Raw genomic sequence first — 25,652 nt, forward strand, 5'->3', positions numbered from 1 at the left:
AAGCCAGGCACAGAAAGACAAATATCACATGTTCTCACTTATTTGTGGGAATGAAAATTAAAACAATTGAAGTCATCAATATAGAGAGTAAAAGGATGCTTACCAAAGGCTAGGAAGGGTAATGAGGATGTGGGGCAGAAGTGGGGATGCTTGGGGATGGTTAGTGGTACAAAAAAATAGAATGAATAAGACCTAGTATTTGCTAGCAGAACAGGGTGACTATAGTCAAAGTAACTTAACTGCATATTTTAAATAACTAAAAGTATAATTAAATTGTTTGCAACAAAAATGATAAGTGCTTGAGGGGATGAATACCCCATTTATTCTGTTGTAATTATTACACATTGCATGCCTATATCAAATATCTCATGTAACCCATAAATATATATCTACTACATAAACATACCCACAAAATTTTTTAAAATTTTAAAAAGAGAAGTCAATGAAGTTGAAAACAGAGAAACAATAAAGTCATTGAAACAAAGAGCTAGTTCTTTTAAAAGATCAATAGAGTTGACACACCTCTATTGTTTACCTCTGACCAGGTAAAAAGAGAAGACACAAATTATCTAACAGGCACAGTGGCTCACGCCTGTAATCTGAGCATTTTGGGAGGCCTGGGCAGGTGGATCACTTGAGCCCAGGAGTTCGACAGCCACTTGAACAACATGGCAAAACCCTGTCTCCACAGTAAGTACAAAAAATAATTAACCAGGCGTGGTGGCACACACCTGTACCCCCCAGCAACATGGGAGGCTGATGTGGGAGGATTGCTTCAACCTGGGAAGTTGAGACTGCAGTGAGCCACGATTGCATCACCCAGCCTGGGCGTTGAAGTGAGACCTTGTCTCAAAAAAAAAGATGAATTATCAATATCAGGGATAAAACAAGATATCACTATGGACCCCGCAGACATCAAAAGGGTAAAAAGGGAACAGTACCAACATCTCTACATACATAAATTTGGCAACATACATGATATGAACCAATTTCTCAAAAAAAATACTACCACAACCTCACCCAATATAAAATATATCATTTCAATGGCATTATAACAAAATTAAATTCATAATTTTAAAACTTCACAAAAAGAAATCTTCAGGTCCAGATTGTTTCACCGGAGAATTAAATGAAATATTTAAAGAAGAATTAACAGTAAGTCCACACAATATCTTCCAGACAATAGGAGGGAACACTTCTCAATTCCTTTTATAAAGCTAATATTATCCTGATAAGAAAATCAGACAAAGACAGTACAGAAATGTACCAAACAATATCCCTCATGAATATAGATGCAAAAATCCCTAACAAAGTACTAGAAAAAAACAATTCAGCAACACATAAAAGTAATTAAACAACATGCTCAAGTAGGGTTTAAGCCATGGATGCTGATGTGGTTTGAATGTCCCCATCAAAACTCATGTTGAAATTTAATTGCCACTGTGATGGTATTGGGAGGTGAGGTATAAAAGAGGTGAGTAAGTCATGAGGGCTTCACTCTCATGAATGGATTGTCATTATGACAACGAGATAGTTATACAGGAGTAGGCTCATAATAAATGGATAAATTTAGCTCCTATTTTCTCTCTGTCTTGCATGCTCAATTCTGCCTTCCACTCTTCTACCATGGACTGACCCTCACCAGATGGCACACCATGTTCTTCTCAGCCTCCAGAATTGTAAGCCAAATAAATTTCTTTTTCTTTTTTATAAATTACTCAGTCTAAAGTATTCTGTTATAGCAGCAGAAAATAAATTAAGACAGAAATCTGGTACCAAGAAATGGAGCTATTGCTATTAAAAATGCCTGAAAATGTGGAAGCAGCTTTGGAACTGAATAATTGTTAGAGCCTGGAAGAATTTGGAGCAGCAGGCTAGAAAAAGTCTAAATTGGCATGAACAGAGCATTAAGTTTCTCTTGAGGGCTCCTAAGGGGAGAGCTACAGAGGAAGTCTAAATCTTCTTAGAGATTACTGAAGTGGTCATGACCAGAATGCTGATAGAAATATGGACAGCAAAGGCCATTCTGATGGGGTCACAGAATGATTTGAGAAACAAAATATTAGAAATTGAAGAAAAAACCTTCCTTGTTATAAAGTAGCAAAGACCTTGGCTGAATTGTGTCTGTGTCCTAGGACTTCATGAAATGCAGAACTTAAGAGCAATGAACTAGGATATCTAATGGAAGAAATATCTAAGCAGCAATGTATTCAGGCTGCTGCATGGCTACTTTTAGCCACATACAGCGAGATGTGAAAGCCAAAGAATGACTTAAAGATGAAATTTATACTTAAAAAGATAAGCCAAACAGAAAGATAAGGAAAATTCACAGGCTGGCCATGTAAAGACTGAAAAAGCATACTCTGGAATATGAAGAATAGGCCAGGTGCAGTGGCCCACGCCTGTTATCCCAGCACTTTGGGAGGCTAACGCAGGTGGATTTCTTGAGCTTGGGAGTATGAGACCAGCATGGGCAACACAGCAAAACCCTGTCTCTACAAAAAATTCACCAGGCATGGTGGCATGCACCTGTGGTCCCAGCTACTCGGGAGGCTGAGGTGGGAGGATTGCTTGAGCCTAAGAGGCAGAGGTTGCGGTGAGCCAAGATTGCACCACTGCACTTCAGCCTGGGTGAAAGAGCAAGACCCTGTCTAAAAAAAATAGTGCTAAGAATATAATACTAAGATTGTGACCAAGCAATCATTTGCTAAAGAGATTAGTATTGATAGAACAGAGCCAGGTGCTATTCATGAAAACAATGGGAGAAAAAGACCCTGAAGGAATTTTAAAGATTTTTGAGGCTGCCCCTCCAATCACAGGCCCAGAGCTATAGGAGGACAGAATGATTTCAGGGGACAGGTCCTGGGTGTCTTCCATGGGCTCACTGCCCAAAGCCTCCTCAGGACTCTGCTCCCTGCATTCTGGTGCAGCACTCTTCAGCTGCTGCACTCATGGCTCAGTGGGTCCAGGTATGGCTTGACTTGCTGCTCCAAAAAGTCTAAGTCATAAGCCTTGGCAGCATCTACATGGTGTTAATTCTACAGATACACAGAATGCAAGAGCTGTGGAGGAATGGCTTCCTCCACCTAGATTTCAAAGGATGCCACAAAATGCCTGAAAGTCCAGGGAGAAACCTACTACAAAGGTAGAGCCACCATAGAGAACTTCCCCACTAAGGCAATGCTTAGTGGAGTTGCAGGGGTAGGGCTGCCCTTAAGACTTCAGCACTATAGAGGTCCAAACATGCAATGCCAGCCTGGGAGAACTGCAGACATGAAACTTCTACCAATGAGAGCTGCCGGATAGACTGAGCCCTGAAAAGCCATAGGGGCTGTATTGCCTGAGGCCTTCGGGGCCCAACTCCCACCTCAGTGCATCCAGGAAGTGATACATGGAGTCAAAGCAGGTTTAAGACTTAATGTTTCCCTGTTGGGTTTTGGACTTACTTAGGGCTTGTTACTTCTTTCTTTTTGCCTATTTCTCCCTTTTGGAATCAAAATGTCTATCCTATACCTGTCCCACATTGTATTCTGGAAGTAGATAACTTGTTTTGATTTCACAGGTTCATAGCTGGAAGGAATTTGCCTCAGAATGAATCATGCCTTAAGTCTCACTCATATCTGATTCAGATAAGACTTTGGACTTTTGATTTTTTGTGTCAGGTTTGAATCAGCCTAGTTGTTCTAAATCCAAGAATGGGGAAAGGTTTCAAAGTGGCTCAGTGGCCAATTAAGTGCTTTCAAATTTAAGGTTTATTGTGAGGCTTTCACACACCAATAATCATGCAAATATATTTAACACATAAAGGCAGTAATAAGAAAGAAGAAGAACAAACCATGGCGAGTAATTCAGGAGACCAGCACACTGATAGACAAACTGGGCAGCTCTTGATTTCCTTCAAAATGCTGACCAGTGAGGGAAGTCACTGCTCTTCTAAGGCAGTTTCCAGCAGCCATTACCAAGAGGCCTTGGAGTTCTCATTGGCAGAGTTTCTTTAGGCATCTTAGTCATGGTCAGTTTCTTTTTTTTTTTATGGCCCTCCACAGGAGTATCCATGGTCACTATCTCAGCCTCACTTTCCTGTCAGGTCTGGAGTGTGCCTGGCCACAGTAGGTGTTATCACCTCAGTCCATTATATATATGTTTATCACTTTGATGTGTCAGCAACTTCACTGTGGGCTGAGTCACTTTTTGTAAGTGACTCTATTTCGAGACATTTAGGATAACAAAACATTATTATATATCAGGACATTTGAGTTGATGCTGAAAAAGTTAAGACTTTTGGGACTATTGGGATAAAGTGAATGTATTTTACCTGTGAGAAGAATATGAATTTGGAGGGCCAGGAGAGAATACTATGGTTTCATTGTGTCCCCCATAAGTTCATGTACTGGAAACTTAATTGCCACTGTAACAACATTAAGAGATGGGGTCTTTAAAAGGTAATGGATTAATGCTGTTATCACAGGAGTGGTTTAGTTATCATAGGAACAGGCTCCTAGTTTAAAAAATAAGTTTATCCCCCATCTTTTCTCTCTGTCTTTCCTGTGTGCTTCCTCATCATGTGATATCTTCCACCATGAGATGACCCTCACCAGATGCCAACACCATGCTCTTGGACTTGCCAGCCTCCAGAACCGTGAGTGAAATAGATCTCTTTTCTTTGTAAATTACCTAGTCTATAGTATTCTATTATAGCAACAAACAATGGATAAAGACAGAAGCAAAGCTGGTACAATATTACAAAAATCAATCAATGTAATTTACCATATTAAAAGATTAAAGAAGAAACCTTATATGAACATATTGATCAATGCAGGAAAAGTGTTTGAAAAAATTAATACCAATTCACTACAAAAATTCTCAGAAAAATATAGAGAGGAACTTTCTCAACTTGATATAGAACATCTACATAAATCCTAAAGTTAACATCATACTTCATGATGAAAGACTGGATAGTTTCCCCTTAAGATCAAGAACAAGGCAAGGATGTCCATTTCACCACTCTTACTCAACATAATGTTAGAAGATCTAGCCAGTCCGATAAAGAAAGTAAAGAACATAAAAGGCATGCAGATGGAGAATAAATAAAACTACCCAGATTTGAAGATGCCTACAGAGAACATCCAAAGAAATCTACAAAAACCTCCAAAACTAGTAAATGAATTCAGCAAGGTTGGAGGACAGAAGATAATGATACAAAAATTAATTGTATTTCTATATAATAGTAATGAAATGTAGACACTGAAGTTCAAAATATAGTACCATTTAAATTCCTTTTAAAATCCAATACTTAAGTGTAAATCTAATAAAACACATGCGGAACTTATACACTGAAAACTACACAATGCTAATGAAAAGAAATAAAAAATAATCTAAATAAATAGAGATACATAACATGTTCTGGATTGGGAACTCAGCACAGTAAGGATGCAAATTCTCCCCAAGTTGATAAACAGATTTAATGTAATTTCTATCAAAATCCCAGCAAGACTTCTGTAGATATAGAAAATATTATTCTATCTGGTCCTTTACAGAAAAGTTTGTGCATCATTCCTCTACTGCAAGACAAGTAGGAGTCTAGTTGCTGCTCAGAAGTTTCTTTTTCTGTTCCTAGGCCCTTCTTTCACACAAACCCCAATCCAATATTTTCTATGTCCAGTAACATAAGATCTCTTCCTTCAGTCACAGAGAAAATTGAGGTCATCAAATAAGAATGTTTCAACTACATTTCCAATGTTTCATCCCTGCTTTTATGTATTTGCTCTTGTACATACTTCATTCTTTCTGGAATGTAAGTTCCATCCAGGCAGGGATTTTTGTCCTGGTTTTTCAAACTGCTACATCTTCAGTACCTAGAACAGTATCTGGCAGGGTACAGAGGCTACATAAATCTTTGTTAAATGAAATTATCTTCAATTTCCATAGAAAAGGTGCCATTTCTTCTATCTCAAGGCTAATCCTTCCACCTATTCTCTGGATCTCTTCTATTTCCACCTTTCCAGGGACCTCAGCTCTTCAACAGATCCTTCTCATTCTTACATCTTCAACTTCATCCTCTCTCTTTAGCATACAAGTATGCTCATGTCTCTCCCAGTGTATATGTACAGATAAATAGCCAGCTGCCACCCAACTGCTCACCTCACATTCACAACCAAATTTCTTGAAAGACTTGTCTATACTCACAGTCTCCACTTCTTCTTCTCCATTAAATCCTCAGCCCACTATAGTTTGGCTTTAGCCCCCACTACACCACTGAAATGGCTTCATTTCAAGCTAGCAATCTCTCCATGGTACAAATTCCTATAGAAAGTTCACAATCTTGATCTAAGTCTGTAGCATTCAACACAGTTAACCATTCCCTGCCTGAAAATCTTCTTCTCCTCTTGCTTCCTGGACACCATACTCTGGTTTTCTTTCCATCTCCCTCTCCTTTTTCTTCTCTCTCTCCCTTCTCTCATTCTTCTCCCTCCCCAACCTGGAGTGGAGTATCTGCTTGTTTTTTGTGTTACTCCTCTGGACCTTTGTCCTTGTCCTTTTTCTGTACTCTATATATTCCCCCTGCATAAAAGCTACATCTACTCTATATGCATACGTATGTCTCAAGTATGGAAAATTGGCTGCTTGAAGATTCATACAGCCTGCAGCTGGGTTTTGTTTGGCTGGCTTACCAGATTTTTTTTCATTTTCCCCGGTGAAACCTCCAACATTTATTTCTAACTTGAATGTCTTTGGGGAGGGCTTGTGCTCATCTCTTCTTTTTGTCTTAGGCCCATATCAGCCCCAAACAGAATTATTCATGTATGTCACCTATCTGGATACTGTAGACATTCAGATTTTTAACTCCTAATGCTGATGACTTTCAAGACTATATCAGTAGCACAAACTACATTCCTGCACCCCAAATAATATATCCAATCTTCATTTGGGTATCTGACAGGCACCTCACACTCAACATAGGTAAAACTGAGCTCAGGACTTCCCCATCAAGTCTTATCCTCCTGTGTTTCCCCCTCAATGAATGGCACTTCCTGACACCAAAGTTCAATCCTGAGATTCGCACTCACTCTCCATTACCCACCTCATCACTTACATGCAATTGATTAGCAAATCATGTAAATTCTACCCCCTAAATATCTCTCAAATGTATGCCTTCTTCTTCTTCTTCCCTGTTACTATATTTTTAACTCAAGGTCTTGTCATTTCCAACTGAATCATTGCAATAGCCTCTATAGGGTATTTCACTATCAGATCCCTTTTTGACCCCTTTAGCATTGACTCTCTACAACTCAGTTCACACCCTAGGTTCAAGCCCAGCAAGACCAGGAACTCTCTGGTTCTCTACACCTCAGTGATTTGACAGGTTCCCTCTGCTTGAAACACCTTCCTACCATCTTCATTCCAGAAAAGCCTATGCTGTCCTTTATATTTCAACTCAGACATTTCCATCTCTAGAAGGCGTGCCTTTCCTGACACCTCACATCCTGTAAGAGAGGGGCCCTCACACCTCTCAACCAGCTCCTGCACTAAACCCATTTCCCTATGGGCAGGAAAGATATCCGCAACTGTATTCTACATGCTGGGTACACAATAGTCCATCAATAATTTTTTAAATGAATGATTCTCTGAGTAAAGTCTGTCTTCATTGGAGTGGTGACCAATCATCTTTGCAATCCAGCTGCAACTTCCACTGTCATCTGAAATGGTGTGGATCTGTGTCCTTACCCAAAACATATGTCGAAATGTGATCCCCAATGCTGGAGGTGGGGTCTAGTGAGGGGTGATTGAATCATGGGGGCAGTTTCTACCCGTTTCACACTATCTCCCTAGTGCTGTTCTCATGATAGAGTTCTCATGAGATCTGGTTGTTTAAAAATGTGTGATATCTCCCCCTTCTTGCTCTCTTCCTCTTGCTCTTGCCACGTAAGAAGTGCCTGCTTCCCCCTTCACCTTCTGCCATTATTGTAAGTTTCCTGATCTTTCCCCAGAAGTCAAGCAAATGCTGCCATGCTTCCTGCACAGCCTGCAGAATGTGAGCCAATTAAACCTCTTTTCTTTATAAATTACCCCATCTCAGGTATTTCCATGGCAATGCAGGAATTAAATAATACATCATCCATATCTCTCACTAGACCCCTACATGAATCTAATGCTCCAAACAATATCAAGAATATCATATTATAGCTTTTGACTGAAAAGAAAGTCTGTAAACCTTAACAATTGTATTCACAAATTTAAATAAATTGCCACAGTGACTGTTGAATAAGGGAACAAACTACTTCATTCCCTGAAGACCCTGTGCTGGTTTCCCACTTATATAATTGATCATGGGCTCCTCAATACCTCCTCCTATAATAAATCTATCCCTTATCCACCAAATTAAATACTATTTTCTTGAAATCTTACCTGCTCTACTTAGCCAAAAATAGAAATGATTGCTCCTTCCTCTGAGCTCCTCCACCTTGGATTCTCTGATAACTATCTAATTTTGCCTTATATTGTATTTTTTGTATGCATAGCTTCTATCCCCTTCCTGACTGTAATCACCTTCAGAGCAGAGAACATGTCTTTTTTGACCCTTTGATGCCCCGTAGCATCTGGAACTTAGCAAGTACACAATGCATATTTTAAGTGACTATTAGATAAGATCAGATTAGGAGTATTTCAACTAATTAAAATGCATTTAGTATTTGATTATTATCCCTAAAGCCAACTGCTTTGTGAATTTAAATAAATAAAGCTCATCCACAGTAATAATTAATTACCAATTATCATGTTAGTGTTTCCTGTTTACAAATATTAACCTAGGGAAACAGGGGTTTTCTAAGTTACTGAGAGGAGTAGACACTTTGGTTTCCATTCTAAAACCAAAGCTACAGATTCCATTTCCATGTGGTCTGCTTGGACAGTGAAGTGATTGCTTCAGGTTTCAGCTGAAACTATATTGGCAACTCAGGGGTATATTTTAAAAACCCTCAGTAGGTCCCATGGAGACTTCCTGAGATAAAGAGCTGTAATTTAATTTGCTATTGCATAACCCAGTCACGAAAGGCACAAAGGAGCCCACGTTTTCATTCCCTTCATAGTAGACATTTAATTATATGATAATAACTTACAGCTTGCTACTCGGCTTCTACTTTTATGAAATGTAAATTACACTTCACTCAAAAGTGCAAGATGAGCATTTAAAATACTTCACTAAATGAGTTTAAAGAATTTTCTGACATTTTTTTCCAGGCTAAGAATTAGGAAGGTGATATACCTTTAAAGGATACTTTGATTTAGATACCAGGAAATTTGAGTTCTTAATGAATATCTGAAAGAGAGAAAAGCTTCCAAGAAAAAAATGAATAGTGTGTTCTAAGCAAGCTCAATGGCTTCAGTAAAGCCAAAGCCTCATCTTTCAGAATAAGTCTACCACTTTTTCAACTGTGTAGATTCATTAATGGAGTTTTACTGGTAAGGCTAAGGAAAAAAGAAAGTGATGACAATGATAAAGGTGTTGCTATTTGAATGACTACATTTGGAAATGAATGCTAAATGTACTTTATTTGTCTTTTATTGCACCACTTTCTCCTAACATTAAAATTGACTCCTAACGGAGGTCAAGTGTTTGGGAAAATCATTATTATTTCCACTGCTGCATTATGCATTGAAGTAGAAAACATAGTCTGGGGAACCCAAAGCCACAGATGACTTAAAGGAATCCTGAAGCATTCTCCTTAAACCTTGCATTTTGCATTCAGGGGCTTTGCCATCATTCTTGCCAACTCAAACTATACGAGTAATCAGGATTACTCTCCATGGTATTTGCCTCTGGTGGTTCATTCAATGTCTTCACCAAAAAATTCCAAAGAAACTAGGAAATGAAGAAGATCCAGAAAGGGAGGTAACTTACATTTTCATATGGGAAACAAAGATATAAAACTTTAAGCAAATTATTTTTCATGACTTGATCAGGAAATCATGAGGAATTCAGGGTCAACTACCACTGATAATCATAAAAGACCTTATACTTGTCAAGGATTTTATTATTTTCAAAAAATTTTCAAACATAAATTCATAGCATGTTAGAACTAGAAGGAACATTAAAATTCATCCAGTGTCACTCTCTCTTTTAATGCATTTATTCTATCTATTGTTATAAACTTTTATTGAAATATAACATACAAAAAATGTAAATCTTAATTATACAGATTAATTTTTATAAAGTAAGCACACTTATGTTACCATCACCTAGATCAAGACTCAGAGCATTATCAGTATTCCAAAAGTCTCTCTCATGTTTCTCTTGGTCTTCTATCATTATTCTAATTTCTATCACCATAGATTAATTTTGCCTGTGCTTGAACTTGATATAAATGTATTCTCTTTTATCTCTGGCTTCTTATTCAATCTTATATGTGTGAGATTCATCCATTGTGCTTGGTGTTGTAGTATTTTTTTCTTATTAATTGCTGTGTGATATTCCATTGTATGAATATACCACAATTTATCCATTCTAATGTTGATGAACATTTAGATTATTTTTAGTTTGGTGCCATTACAAATAATGCTGCTGTGAACATTTTGCACATCTTTTGGTGCAAATGTGTGCATTTCTGTTGGGTATATGCATAGTAATGGATTTATTAGGTCATTGGGTACACATATATTCAACTTTAATTGATACTGCCAGTTTTCCAAAGTAGTTGTACCAGTTTACACTGCAGTCAACAGCATATGAGAGTTCCACTCACTCCACTCCTTGGCAATACTTGCTGTTGTTTGTCTTTTTAATGATAACTATTCTGATAAACGTGTAGTGGTCACTCATTGTGGTTTTAATTTGCATTTCCCCAATGACTAATGATGCTTGCTAAACATGTCAGTATACTATTTGATGAAATACCTGATCAAGTCCTTAATTTTTAATTAGGTTATCTGTCGTTTTTTATTTATCCGTGGGAGTTATTTATATATTCTGGACACAAGTCCTTTGCAAGTTATGTATATTATAAATATTTTCTCCCACTCTAATTTGCCTTTTCATTATCTTAATGATGTTTTAGATGAATATAATTACTGTATTTCAATAAAGACCAAGAGAGAAGGCTCAAATTACCAAGATGAGGAATGAAATATCAGGAATGAAAAAGGAGACATCACTACAGATATTATGTGTTAAAAAGATAAGAGGAAGATAGTACAAACAACTTTATGCCAACTCTTTTGCTATGATAGTGCATGTACTATCTATTTTCATTGTACAAGCTATCAACACCATATAAATTTAAAGAATGAAAAATTAGAAAATCATTTCTCTGTTGTTACTTCTAAAATATGGAAAGATATCACTTCATTTATTCAACATTTGTTTACAACATCTAAATGTCAGATATTTTATGAGGGGATAGGGACATAACAATGAACAAAAAAGAACAGTCCCTTTTATCATGGAGCTTACAAACACATGGGAAAAAAACAAACATTAACAATCACCCTGATAACTCATTACCATTATGGCAAGTGCTACATAGAATAGCTACAGGGTGCTATACATGTGTATAAAAGGGACTATTTAGAGTAGAGGAGCATGACAAACTAATCTGAAAGAACTACATATAAGCTGAGACTTGAAGGATAGTTATAAGTTTGCTAGGTGTAGGGGGTGGAAGAGAAGGGAGGATGAGAAAGGGAAAACTCAGAAAGAATGAGCACCCCTCCCCATAACACACACATATACTTGCGTACATGCACACAGCCTACCTGGTGCAATATGACCCAAAGATTCGACTGCTCCAGATCAAAGTTAAGAGGATGCAGAGTTCTAAAGCCAAGGCAAGAGGAAACAAAGAGCTAAATTACTGTTCTACAATGGAAGTGGCTCTGAGGTTTGGAAAACAGAGATATAGAAGTACCTATAAGAGCTTCAAGACAGTATTCTCAAAACAGACAGGGTTACTGGAGTTTTACAGATTCTACAAGTAGAGTATATAGACACCCTGTTCTTTGACAGTGCCCAGGGAGGTGACAGGACATCGGAGAAAAATGGCAATGTGATATCCAAGAAAGACTAGACCCAAACCAGTTCAGGACTCCCAGCCTGGACAGAATCCCCTGTGCCTCAGCTTGGTCCAGAAGCAGCAGAGCTGCTAGCCTTGAAGAGACCATACAGGCTTGGACAATGAGTATGTCAGTGATGGCCAGTGTGAAAAACTGAAGATCTGAGGATTCCCTGTGATGGTCCAAATGCTTAGTACTTAACATGGACATGGAGGCCTCCACAATGACTGAGATTAAATGTTCTATCAAATCTGGGGGGAGGGTATGGTCTCTGAGCAGATTGATATTTAGAGAATAAAAGAAATATTTATTTCACTCTATATTTTGGGGTAAAATGCATGCCCACTACAATATTTAATATTGGGAGAAAGTAGTGGAATCTACTCTGGGAGAAAGTAGAGAGAGTCTCAAAGCAGTTTGGGCTGAGCTATAGGTATCTTTGATAGGACTACCTTGGTCATGAGTGGGGATGGAGCAGTTAAAGGCACAGGGCCAGAGCAGACAAATGCTCACTGAATGAAAGAATGAATGGTCCTCGCCCTTTCAGGAACCCATTCCAATCTTCAGAAAGTCAGTATTTCTATCAGATCTCCTCTCCCACAAGAGGGACCCATAGAAAGTTTGGCTGCCTTACCTTTATCTATTGCTTCCCAGCAACAGAAGTAAGCTGCCCAAGTGGCCGCCAAGGTTGTAGGGGCAAAAATGTGCTTCATGCTTAACTGGGAAAGAAGCAATTCCTTGAGTTATGTGTCATTAGTGAATCCTAATGTCATTAGGTATAAGAATCAGAATTTGCATAGAAATCATTGCAGGGAATTGTTCCTTCCCCATACCAGTATTGATTTCTCAGCACCATTAGCTGCTTAATGCTACTGCTTTTAATTGATTACTTCAGGGGAGTCCCTCAATAGCAAGCTTCTTCAATTGAGATGGAAGGACATTCGCTGAATGTGATTCAACAACCCCAATTGACTCTGGAGACCTCTGCCTATCTACAGCATAATCATGGCAGCCTCACACAGTTTAATAAATAACATGGTCCTTCCGAATACAATATTCAGGCTATAACCTAGTTAAAAATATGAACTTGTCTGGTTCTGTTTACCTTCTAAAAATCAATGATCAAGTCATACATTTGTAAATACATGTACAGTTGGGAGTCTGGGAGTTATTTTAAAACTTCTTGTTTCAATCTCTGAATATGTATGAAGACTCTGAAATGCTGAGTTAACTCTCCTGCCTTAGTAAGTAGTTGAGTAGCTATAGCTAGACTCTACTTTGCCTAACTAGGTATAACATAGTATATGGAACACCACTGTCACTATCAAGGACTAGAAAAGTTGAGAAGTGTTGGGTTAAAAGCATATTGAGGCAAAGACAGCTCAGGGAGCACTTCAATAATTTACCCAATTCCCCAGCAGGAGCTTCTATTTTTGTTTTTGAGACAGGGCCTTGCTCTGTTGCCCAGACTGGAGTGCAGTGGTAGTGGTAGTGGTATGATCTCAGCTCATTGCTCCTCAACCTTCCAGGCTCAGGAGATCCTCTCCCACCTCAGACTCCCAAGTAGCTGGGACTACAAGTGTGTGCCACCACACCCAGCTAATTTTGTTTATTTTTTGTAGAGACAAGGTCTCACTGTGCTGCCAAGGCTGGTCTCAAACTCTTATGCTCAAGCGATCTTCTTGCCTTGGCCTCTCAAAGTGGTGGGATTACAGGCGTAAGCCACCACACCTGATAAGCTTTTTGTTTTCTGATTCACTTTTCTCCTCAATGTTGTCCTCAGGAAAAAGGATCTTGTTCATCAATTCAATCCAATTGACCAAATATAGTGTGCCTTGATAGAATTGATAGAAATGTGGGCCGGGTGCAGTGGCTCATGCCTGTAATCCCAGCATTTTGGGAGGCTGAGGCAGGTGGATCACAAGATCAGGAGTTTGAAACCAGCCTGACCAACATAGTGAAACCCCGTCTTTGTTAGAAATATAAGAATTAGCCAGGCATGGTGGCGTGCGCCTGTAATCCCAGCTACTCGGGGGGCTGAGGCAGGAGAATCGCTTGAAACTGGGAGGCAGAGGTTGCAGTGAGCTGAGATCGCGCCATTGCACTCCAGCCTGGGTGACAGAGTGAGACTCCATCTCAGAAAAAAAAAAAAAAAAAGAGAGAGAAGAGAAGAAAAAAAAAGAAATGTCAACTCACAAAATCAGATGCACAAGAATGTTTTTCTAATATCTCGGTCTATTTTGAGCACCTATTCCTCCAAGTAGTATAAACCTTAACTCCAGTCAATTCAAGCACTCCCCACAATCTCTGGGATTGTGGCTAAGACAAGCAGAAAGTGTTTGATCTTCAGTTGCCTGCTGTTGTTCACCCTGGAATCCACTGAGAGGTGTATTGTCATGTGTGGCCTTGGTTATCTCTCTGCATGTGTTCTAGGGATATTCAAATTCCACCCAGGCATCAGTTACAGAAGCACTCAGATCACTGCTGTGCCTCCTTAGCCTTGAGATTAAGATCTCTCAGGTCTCGAGATGTCCTTGTGGGTATTTAGAAAACACTCGGTTCTTCCAATACCTCCCCAGAGTCTAGGGAATTGTGAGGTGGTCTCAAGCCCTGTCTCCTGACATAGAATACATGCAGTCAACACTACTGCTCTAGTGTCAGGCTAGGTTCAGGGAAACTGTTCAAAAACCTCTATATGGGGAGAGGCAAGAAACAGTCTCATCTGCTCTCAGATTTCTCTACTCCCATGCCCCATTGAGGGTTGTATTATTCATATTTCTTCAATTTGGGTCTTAGTCCACAACATCATGTTACAGCACCTCTGTTAAGGGACTCACTAAGGACTCACTCTTTTGTTCTAATTCTCACTTTTCTCATATCTGATAGGATCTTCATCTAGTTTGGGGAAGAGGAAAACAGGCTTTAACTTATCCTGTATCCTTTCAAATCTAGTGTGTATGTCATGAAGTGCATTTTCTGGGTTCTTTAGGACTCGGGCCTTTGAAGCTCAAAAGCTCTAGTTCCTGAAATTCTAAATAGGCTTTTAAAACTCAAAGGCTACAAATTTACTTTTTTTTGTCTTCTGCTCTTCTACTATAACAGCCTTTCTCTTAGGTGATGAATGTGTTTGCTGAATATGGAAAGGACTAGGTATAAGCACACACACAGACACACAAACACACACAGGAGAATTTATTAAAACATTATCCCAACATCTTACTATATATTAAGGCCATGGTAGAAACTAGAAGAGGAAAAAGAAAAGACACAGTCCATGTGCTAAAGAGAATATAGTTTCATTATGGAGACTATGATTTATATATCTGAGACACTCAAAAAATGCATCATCACATATAATCCAAGGATAGCTTAAGTGATACACTAAATGCTGCAAAGAAGCCAAATAAGAGGGCTATCAATATGAACCACAGGGGTCAGAGACGATCTTTTCATAGAAAAGACTGACCTGAAAGGAGGAGTGGGAAAGGAGAAGGTAATAAATAATTTCATTTTGAAAACTTTTCTCCAGGCAAGTGTCATGTCCCTTATATTAGGCTTTCAATGGTATTTTCACTGTCCCTCTGTGGTTTTGATGAAAAAAAAAAAACCCTACTCATGTCTTTCAAAATCTAGTGTACCCAAGAGCTCAATTCACTTATTCAACACATACTTATTAAAAACCTATCATATACTGAGCCCCATGCTAGGTAGCATTAGGGCTATTTGCATAGACCGAGAACAACATGGATCTTTTACCAAGTGGAAACCATATAATGGGAAATGTCATGTAGAGCAGTGGTTCTCACACTTGATTGGGCCTCAGAATCACCTGGAGGACCTGTTAAAACACAAAGTGCTGGGCCTCACCTGCAGGGTTTCTGATTCAGTAAATCTGAGGCAGAACCTGAGAATTTGCATTTCTTTTTTTTTTTTTATTATACTTTAAGTTTTAGGGTACATGTGCACATTGTGCAGGTTAGTTACATATGTATACATGTGCCATGCTGGTGTGCTGCACCCACTAACTCATCATCTAGCATTAGGTATATCTCCCAATGCTATCCCTCCCCCCTCCCCCCACCCCACAACAGTCCCCAGAGTGTGATGTTCCCCTTCCTGTGTCCATGTGATCTCATTGTTCAATTCCCACCTATGAGTGAGAATATGCGGTGTTTGGTTTTTTGTTCTTGTGATAGTTTACTGAGAATGATGGTTTCCAATTTCATCCACGTCCCTACAAAGGACATGAACTCATCATTTTTATGGCTGCATAGTATTCCATGGTGTATATGTGCCACATTTTCTTAATCCAGTCTATCATTTTCTAATGAGTTCCCAAGTGAAGCTGATGCTGCTGGACTGGCAAAAACCATTGATATAACGGTTAAGAAACCACAGGATTTATAGTCAGCCAGACCTGGGTTTGAATCCCACCTCTGGCACTTAGACATCCAACCCTGAGTACATTATTTAGCTGATTAGAGCCTTGGGCTTTTTAATCTGTAACACTTGATACAACAAGATTCAGCATTATTTTTTTTAGATATACTGTGTGTCTAGGTACAAGGGAAATAGCAATGAATAAATAGACATAAACCTGTGAGGGTGATGACCACTAAGCACAGTTACCTAAAGTACTGTATGATTAGCATTGTGATCAGAACTATGAAGAAGAAGGGCAGGGAGGGGGCTATGAGAAGTGAAAACAAGGAAACCTTATCCAGACTGAATGGTCAAGGAAGACATCACTGAAGCTGGCTGATGCCTGAACTGTAAGCAGGAGGGCCCGTGCTCATCAGGAGAGGTGGTGGGGTAGGGCTGCTAGTGTTTGGAACTGCTTGATGAGGAAAGGATGGCGTGGCTGATGGTAATGTGTGGGGCTTTTGAGTGTGGCTAATCGGGACTGGTAGAGAGATGGGCCAAAGGGGAGCATGGGTTATAGAAGGGGTGGATGAGGTTGGTGGTGATGGGTGGAGCTAGAGGGTGTGGTGATGTGCATGACAGTGGGGAATTGTGTTGAAATGATGAGGATATTGGGGAGGTAACACTGATGAAAGTGGTACACAGGAGGTGGTGAGCTCGCTGGTCCTGGTAGGCAAGGTTAGTGGGTGTGACTTGTAAGTGTAAATGATGGTGGTCAGTAGAACCATTATAAAGAATAAGGGGTCATTTCTTTAGACAAACAAATCAGAGAAGACCTTCCTGATGTTGTGACATTTAAATTGAGACTGGAAGGATGACAAAAGGGGTAACATACACTCTGAGCAGAAGAAATTACAATGTGCAACAGCTCTGAGAGACAGTAGAGACCTGAGGATTTTATAGAAAACCAGTGCAGCTAGAGTGCCAAGAGTGAAAGGAGAAATGGTGGGAGATGAGGCTAAAAATGCAGGCAAGAGCCAAACCATGCAGAACCTTCTAGAGATTGATAACGCATCTGGTCTTTATCCTAAGAGCAATTAAAACAATGCGATCAGCTTAGAGTGTTGAAAAGCTCACTCTGGCTATATTGTGAATAATAGGCTGGAAGAGGCCACCAATCAGGAAGCGTTTGAAGAAAATAATTCAGCAAAGCAGCACTGAGTCATATTTTTCTACTGACACAGAATATATGTACCTTCATAACTGGAGCCCTTCCATGTCTTTCCTCCCCGATGTCTAATTCCTTGCCTGGTATCCTAGTATTAGGACTAGATTTCCTACACACAAAAAAATCTGTTTCCTAATCTGAATCTGGAACTGAATCCCTAATACCCACTGCCATCATTCCTTGATAATTCACCAGCTGCTAATCTGAACTCCGGCAATTGCCAGCTACTTAGATGGCCATTGGTCAACTGCCTCACTCCTGCTTGGCCAATAGCCAGGTTCTCGGTTCAGTTTGTCACCGTGGAAACTTATTCTCACATTTTACCTGCTCTTATCCCTCTTAGGTCTGATATGATTCTGAACCTACTTTTGGAGTCAAACCACCATGTACTCAACCCTGTAATAACCAAATCATTAAACCTTGGAATTAAATCCTTACTATAAAGGAATACCTGAGACTGGGTAATTTATAAACAAAAGAGGTTTAATTGGCTCACATTTCTGTACGCTGTACAAGCATGGCATCAACATCTGCTTGGCTTCTGGTGAGGGCCTCAGGAAGCTTACAGTCATGGAGGAAAGCAAAGCAGGAGCAGGCAAGGTATGTCACATGGTGAGAGCAGGAGAAAGGTGGGGGGAGGTCTCAGACTCTTTTAAACAATCAGATCTCATGCAAACTCACTGAGCAAGAACTCACTTATCACCAAGTGGATGGTGCTAAGCTATTGATGAGGGAGCTGCCTCCATGATTCAATCACCTCCCATCAGGCCCCACCTCCAACATTGGGAATTACATTTCAAAATGAGATTTCGAGGGGACAAACATCCAAACTACATCATACTTGTCCCAGCCGCAGACTTCTCCTGACCAAGGAAAACTTCCTGAATTCCCAGGTCTTGTCTATGCCACTGTGGCCTGTTCCACCACCACCCAAGCCCTGGTTCTAATAGCAGGTATTGTCAAAGGGCTAGAACATCATTTAATAATAAACGTGGCCTGGGAATTGAGAACATATCATGTCTGGCTGTTTGAAAATTTGATGTGGATTATTTGATATTCTTGGGCTCTTGTGATTGTGCAACTTAGACCTGGTAAACAAGTCATAGGTGCTCCTTTACAGTACCTGAGCTCACTTGTCCAGTTCCTAAGAAGTCAGCACTCACATTTGGATGGATTTGCCTCAGGCGTCCTGACAGCATAATAAGTGAATCTGTTATATATCCTAGGCTACAGATCCTTTCTTGGATGGTATCACTGTATTGACTCTGAGGCAAGGGACTTGAGAAACAGAAACTCTCTCCTTTCTGGGTTGCTCGAAGATCATATTATTCATGTGGATCTGACATGCATCTATAAAGGCCCAACTGATCAGATCCATGCTTCTCATTTTCATCAAACTACAAGTGGATATGGGGCTTGGGGAGCTACTAATGGGTTCAAAGACCCTCACTTTTCTGGACTTTCGTTGCAGTGCTCTGGGAGTGAGATCAGAGGTAGGGAAAAGCAAGTGATGGAGTATGTTCGTTGCAGACAGAGAGAGCAGGTTTTGGGATTGAAGATCCTTCATCTGTAAATCTGCTACTTCTTATTATAAAGGCCAAAGTACTCTGGAAAGTGTGCAGTGTGGAGGATAATTGCCTCTCAGGGTCATCTCATAAAGAATCTGAGAGGTCTCCTAATCAGGGTCTAATGGTGGCTTTGGTGCCAGGGGCTGGGAGGCAATGGTTTACAGGTTAGGGCAAAGAATTCTTGGAAGGAGGACACTCAAGCCTCTGAGAAAGAACAGAAATGTGCCTGGCAGGCAGCCCAAAGAGCTGAAGTTAGAGGAGACCAGGAGTCCAAAATAGGCAGTAGAAGTTGGAAGACATTGGAATACCAAAAGGAGACCAAATCCTACAAGGGTAGACCAAAGAGAAGTCAGTCTCAAGTCAGAGAGTTTGTGAGTCTAGATAAGCGCAAAAAGCTATTTCTTTCTTTAAGCTTACCAGGAGCTTTATGGAACAGGTTTGAAGCTGGATTAGTGACAAAGGTGATGCTCACATCCGAAGCATTGAGTTTTTCACTGGGTGAAAACTCAAGAAGAAGTGTGATAAATGGGATTTTGTTTTCAGGCTCTCTCCCTTGTGGCATCCTCTCATCCCAGGCATCACTTGCTGCATCCAGCCACACAGATCCCACCCATCAATTTCATGCCCCAAGGCCCAGAAATCCCTGCATCTTGGGTCCTCTTCCGTGCTCTCTGCCAGCCAGTCAGATCAAGGCATAACAGGTTGAATGTTGCCTAACACATTTCCCTTTGCATTTCAGTGGAAGCTTTTTAACAATTGTGTCCTTCATTGATATCATCCAAAGCAATACTTCTAATTTGGGAAATTTCCAGCTCTACAGCATATCTGGGAGTATTTGGGAGACAGTTGGCTTAAAACAACACAGATTTATTTTCTTATGGTTCTGGAGGTCAGTAGTCTGAAATGGGTCTCACTGGGTTAAAGTTGTGGTGCAGGCAGGGCTAGTTCCTTCTGGAGGCTTGGAAGGGAAAATCCATTTACTTGTCTCTTTCAGCTGACAAGTGGCTTCCTGTGCCTGCCTGTATTCCTCGGCTTTTGGCCCCTTCCTCCACCTTCTATGTCGTCACTCCAATCTCTGCTTCTGTCATCATATCTGCTCCTCTGCCTCTGACTCTTTCCTCATCTCTCTCATTAGGACCCTTGTGATTACACTGAGCCTACCTGGATAATCTGGGATAATCCTTCTGTACCAAGATTCTTACCTTATTCACATAGGCAAAGTTTATTTTGCATGTAAAGTAACATATTCAGTCTACGGATTAGAACATGGACATATTTGGGGTACCATTATCCACCCTACCACATGAAACATTTCAAATTGTATCATGGTTCTGACATTTTCTATTCCTGCATTCAATTTATAGATTATAGATTTTAAAAAGATGTTAAATAGTTCAGTGTTATCTTTGCCCAATGATCATCATCTTTCAAAGGCGGTGTGAGGGTGGAAAGAGGTGGTTAGGGGCAGAAAGTAAAAGAAGCAGGGAGCGAGTTTTAAAAGTTCTGCAATGGGACATCTGGAATTGGCCTCTTACCCGATTAACTCCACTGCCAATTAGGATGAGGCTCTGCCTTGTGGTTTCATTTAAAGCCTCATTTAATGACAATTCATTTTAGTCAGTGGTTCTGCTTCTTTTCCAATACAATTTGCTCTTGAGCTCAAATGGTGCTCTCAGCCTGGTTGGAGATTGAAGGCCAGCTTCCTTCAACTCTGGCTTTGATCGAAGAAATGGGAAGTGGACATTTGGAAAATTTATCTGAGAAGGTAGGGAAATTAAAACTGAAGGGAATCCAATTGTTCTTCAGAACTGTCTAAAGAGATTAGAGCAGCAGTGACTCAAAATGACATCCTACTTAGCTTACAAGCTCCCACTTGTTCCGCACTCTGTGGGCCAGGAGACAGCCTGAGTCTCTGTGCCCAGGGCATCTTCATAAGCCTCAGAAGCTGAGCACAAGGACATGATAGTAAGAGAGACACTATCCAGGGCCATCACTTCCCAAAGTTTATGTTCAAGGAAGAAATTTATATAATAACTACCAATAATTGTATACTTATTATATGCTAAGCACTGTGCTTAAGCACACTACATGTGTTTTGTCATTTAACCTAACCTTCATAACAGCCATGTAAGGTAATTTATATTAGCCTTTTTTACAGGTTAGTAAACTGAAGCACAGAGAGAGATTAATTGACTTGCCCAACATCAAACAACAGAGGTAAAATTTGAGCAGTCAGTAGTCCCAAGCCCTCACACTTATCCACCATGCTATACTGCTCCACGTGGAACCTCCCTGGGAAATTCTGTGTTAGATATGTGGATGTTTATGGTGCCAAACAGGTCTTACTAAAGCAAGTAAACAAGTGACTAAGGTCATACTTGCTTACTAAAACAATCGTCTTCAAGGATTTCATTTCTGCATTAGGGGAAGTGCACACAGGACACTTTCACCAGATATTCATGAATTATAATATTTGGGTAAAGATTGAGATCTGGGAGTGTGTATCTTGAAAAAAGTAGTCATGTGAACATATACTAGCCAAGGCCAAAGATAACATAGCATGCATGTTATCATGCAGGAGTAAACCCCTTTCTGGAGACTGTGTCTAAGGTATTAATTTCAGCAAACATCTTACATAGAACAATCCCCAATTTTCATATGCATTTTTTGAAAGCCCTATACAGTCATTCCCTATACATCTTACGAATGGAAAGAACTCTAGATCTCTCATCCTCCAATCAAAAGCTTCCAGAGGTCATCTGTTTCCAACCACCCAGACTTGTTCAGAGGTATGAAGACATCAAGAGCCTTGGAAGGGGAGAAAGAGGAAGAGGAGGAAGAAAAGGAGGGAGTAGAGGAAGGAGAGGAGGAGGGAGAAGAGGAAAGAATGGAGAAGGTAGTGGAGGAGGAAGGAGGGGGCATGTAAGTACCTTCCTGAGAAGATTTGGAGAAGGTTCTAATTTGGAAGATTGATCATAGGAGCCAGCTAAAGTTGTGCAAGGCATCAGCTTGATAGAGGCAAGACACTGTCAAGGCTTGCTCATTAGGAGCTGCCCCTGTGCCTCAAGCCAGCACCCCTTGCCTACACTATATATTGTCTCAACTCTTGCAGGTTTGGGTCATTCATGCAGACCTTTATTAAGAACCAACTATGTGCCCAGCACTACATTAGACACTGTGAGGGATACAAATATATACAAGACAGAATCCTGCTCAAGATAATGCATCTATCTTGGTATTTGTAGTCCCTAATAAGTACAAGAACCATAGGAAGTACAGAAACAAAAGATGAAAATTGTTTCAGCGATCAAGTTCTCTTAAATCTGGGTCATTTTCCCTTTTTCCTATTATTTCTCTGTTCCCTCTACTCCACATCTCCTCTAATCCTGATCTCATTCTTTGGACACATACTGCCCTTCCTCTCCCCTCCTCAAGTTACAGCCCATTTTTATTTTTCAATATCTTCCTGCTGTTTCATGAAGATTTGCCCTAATTCCCTCTAATACCTGATACCTTCAACTATTAATAGGCATTCACTATCCCAATCCTGACACATACACCAACAACAGCAATAGAAACAGTGCAGCCTGCAGTTTGAATTATGAGACCATGTTAATCAAAGAACGGGCAACCACTTGGTGGCAGCATACTCAAATTCAAATAAGAGGAAATATTTTTAAGTGAGAAGGAACAGCCTGAATTAACAAAACTAAAGTTAGAAAATGCCAGATTAGCAAAGCTAAAGTTAGAAAATGATGACCATGCCACATCTGTAAAATTGTATCAGTTGCACTCAGGAAGACTGAATTGAGAGTGTGTTGCAGTCCTGACAACAAGAAAGAAAAAAAGAAAACAAAAGAAAAGAAAAGAAAGAAAAGAAAAGAAGAAAAGAAAAGGGAAAGAAAAGAAAAGAAAAGAACACAATGTTATGGAGCTAAGGAGTGCATCTTCAAGGCTATAGCCATAAGAAAGAGCCCTAAGTTTTAATGTTTTAGCACTAAAGACAGACAACTCTTGTGTCTCCATATTCCCTCAAAGAAAACTGGATTGAGACTAATCGAATAATCCAGACCATTGGAAACAATGACAGACTAAATGAAAATGCGTATATAGACATTTTTGTTTCTGGTATAATGGGCCATTAATAATAGGATACTTACAAGAAAACAAGAAGCGAGCGTGTGCCATTGGGAAATGCACTCAGGGATTCATATCCTCTTCTGGGATTGGTATCAAATGCCAAATAAGCTCCCACTGATGTTGCAGACAGTAGGCTGGTATAGATAACCTCCTGGGGCCATTGATTTCTACAAAAACAGAGACTATATTCTAGTTCTTCAGCTGCCAAAACATGATAATTATTAGCAGCCCAGCACAACAAACATCTTGGGAAATGTGGGACTCAGAATAGCTTTGTAATTGGCCCCTTAGTCAATGATGTCCAACTGATTAAAGAATGTATATGCCTTGCATCCTAGAAGCCTGAAAAATGGTTTCTTCATCTCTCATTAGAGCTTTTCTATTTCTAGGAGAGTACATCTATTGTTTTCAACTATAAGAAGACATCCAAGGCAAGTTCAATGATAAAAAGCATGGAGTATTTTACTTCAGCTGGTATGCATATAACCAAAGTAAATCAAAAATATATATTGAGCCCGTACTATGTACCCATGCCTGTGCCAGCTGCTACAGGGTAGACAGAAAAAACATTGGCATGGTGCCTCTCTCGCATGCTTATGATCTAGTTGGGAGATAAAATTAACATGTAAAACAATTCAACAAAAGACATAATGTGTTTTGAGTTGGATTGTTCAGAGGCTAGGTGCTATAGTGGTAATAAAAGAGGAAAGTGACTGTGGACTAGGGTTGTCAAGGACCTTGAAGGGTCTGAGATTTTACTCTACTTTCAAACTAGCAAGTTGGCCTACTACAGTTTCATGGATACCAGTAGTAAATACGAGACTCCTAGATGACAGATGAAAGAAAATTTATCACTCACAGCAACAGCAGTGGCCAGAGTATCGTCATTTTTGCATTGGTTTTGGAGTGCAGATTCCAACAGGGCAATGTGAGGAGGACCAAATGTCATCTGTGCATGAAGTGGGTTGCATTACAGGAGAGGCACCCTGAACTTAGAGAACTTGAGCTTATAGAATCATTCATAATAGGCAGTAAGCATGCCTTCCCTTTGTTCCATAGACATTATCTCCATATTGCCAAGCTTTTCCCTATATAAACATCCTAAAGAAAATAGTCCAGAACAACAAGCAGTCATTGTCTTGCTTGCAAGACATTCAGAAACACAACTCAATTGTCAGACAAGGTTTTGTGGAGCCATGGTTTTGGTATGGAGTGCATATCACAGCACAAATGGCTCATGCAAATCCATCTCCATTACAAAGCACATGTCCTAAAGATGGGAGATTTCTTAAGATTACCGAGAAAATACAAAACAGTTCAGAGCTTCAAGGGCCTTTGTTTAACCTGCTCATCTTACAGAAATGGAAACTGAATCCTAAAGAAGTCAAACAATCATAGCATTATTGTAGTATACAACTGGCACATTTCTTATGTCTGATTAGACAGTTATATTCTATGCCCACTGAGCACTATCCTACTTTTCATAGTAGGATGCTGCTTGGGAACCTCATTAGAAACCAAATTACTACCTGAACCAAGTTTACACTAATGTATTGACCTCTACAACACTCATTAAATGAACTGTAAATCCAATACACTGAAGTCATTTTCCACTGAATCAAATAAGGCTTCAGTCAAAAGAATTACCATTGTGATATACTTAATGCCCGGCATTTTCAGGGAGTTTTAGGCTGGATCATTTCAGATAAAGAGAGAAAATTGTAGAGTCGTAAAATAATGCTGACTAAATAAGTCACACTGCAAGCAAGCATCCTAATTCAGAACTGGGAAGGCAATAATCGACTCGAATTGATTAGTTGGTGGAGCCATCTAAGGATTCACAGTTCTTTGTTTACTAATCTGTCTGTACTTCACTTTCTCCCAGATTCAAAAGTGCTGTAAATACTACTACTTACTTTATCTAAGAATACCTTTGGTCCTTCTCAGTTTGCATAGCAGCTGAACTGTGGGAATAAGTGAGGGGGAAATGTAACTACTATCAAAAGTACTAAAACAGAACACAAAGTATAGACAGACCTTCTTGCATCTGTGGGGAATCTAGACAAGGATAATAATCCCCAAGCAAGAAAGTTCACTGGATTTAAATATATTTTCTAGTTGGGTTTCATTAAATCTGGCCCAGAAAGTCAAGAGCAAGTGTTGAACAAACAGAAAATCTGCTTGTGAGTTTCTGATTTTGTATGCAAATCCATACACGCCACAGGATGAGAAAATATAACTATTTTCAAAACTAGGTGTGTACTGGAACATTAAAGCCAAATATGGAATAAAGTTAAGTGTGTCTCTCA

At 39.7% G+C, this 25,652-nt stretch overlaps 1 long non-coding RNA gene across 2 annotated transcripts in view, besides 2 other annotated features; it reads right to left on the reverse strand.

Annotated features, from left to right (window-relative positions):
• The window catches only part of LOC107985684 (uncharacterized), a 32,370-nt gene continuing 6,718 nt past the window's right edge, over nucleotides 1–25,652 (reverse strand). Inside the window, exons 2-3 of one of the 2 annotated variants that reach the window (XR_001755961.3) lie at nucleotides 25,260–25,307; nucleotides 1–24,444 (exon numbers count right to left, since the gene is read on the reverse strand). This is a non-coding gene — a long non-coding RNA (uncharacterized LOC107985684). Of the gene's footprint in view, nucleotides 25,308–25,652 lie in introns of both variants that reach the window. The other variant, XR_001755960.3, reaches the window with a different exon arrangement.
• Nucleotides 14,152–14,784: an enhancer, noted in NCBI's record as "OCT4-NANOG hESC enhancer chrX:128443847-128444479 (GRCh37/hg19 assembly coordinates)". NCBI's record gives its function as "activates a minimal SCP1, AML or CMV promoter by ChIP-STARR-seq in primed H9 embryonic stem cells {active_cell/tissue: H9 hESC(primed)}" and the evidence as "EXISTENCE:reporter gene assay evidence [ECO:0000049][PMID:30033119]".
• Nucleotides 17,811–17,979: a silencer, noted in NCBI's record as "fragment chrX:128447506-128447674 (GRCh37/hg19 assembly coordinates)". NCBI's record gives its function as "represses an EF-1alpha promoter that drives an FKBP-Casp9 reporter gene in an ReSE screen in K562 erythroleukemia cells {active_cell/tissue: K562}" and the evidence as "EXISTENCE:reporter gene assay evidence [ECO:0000049][PMID:32094911]".

The sequence above is a fragment of the Homo sapiens genome, chromosome X (assembly GCF_000001405.40).
Source record: "Homo sapiens chromosome X, GRCh38.p14 Primary Assembly".
NCBI lineage: Eukaryota > Metazoa > Chordata > Mammalia > Primates > Hominidae > Homo > Homo sapiens.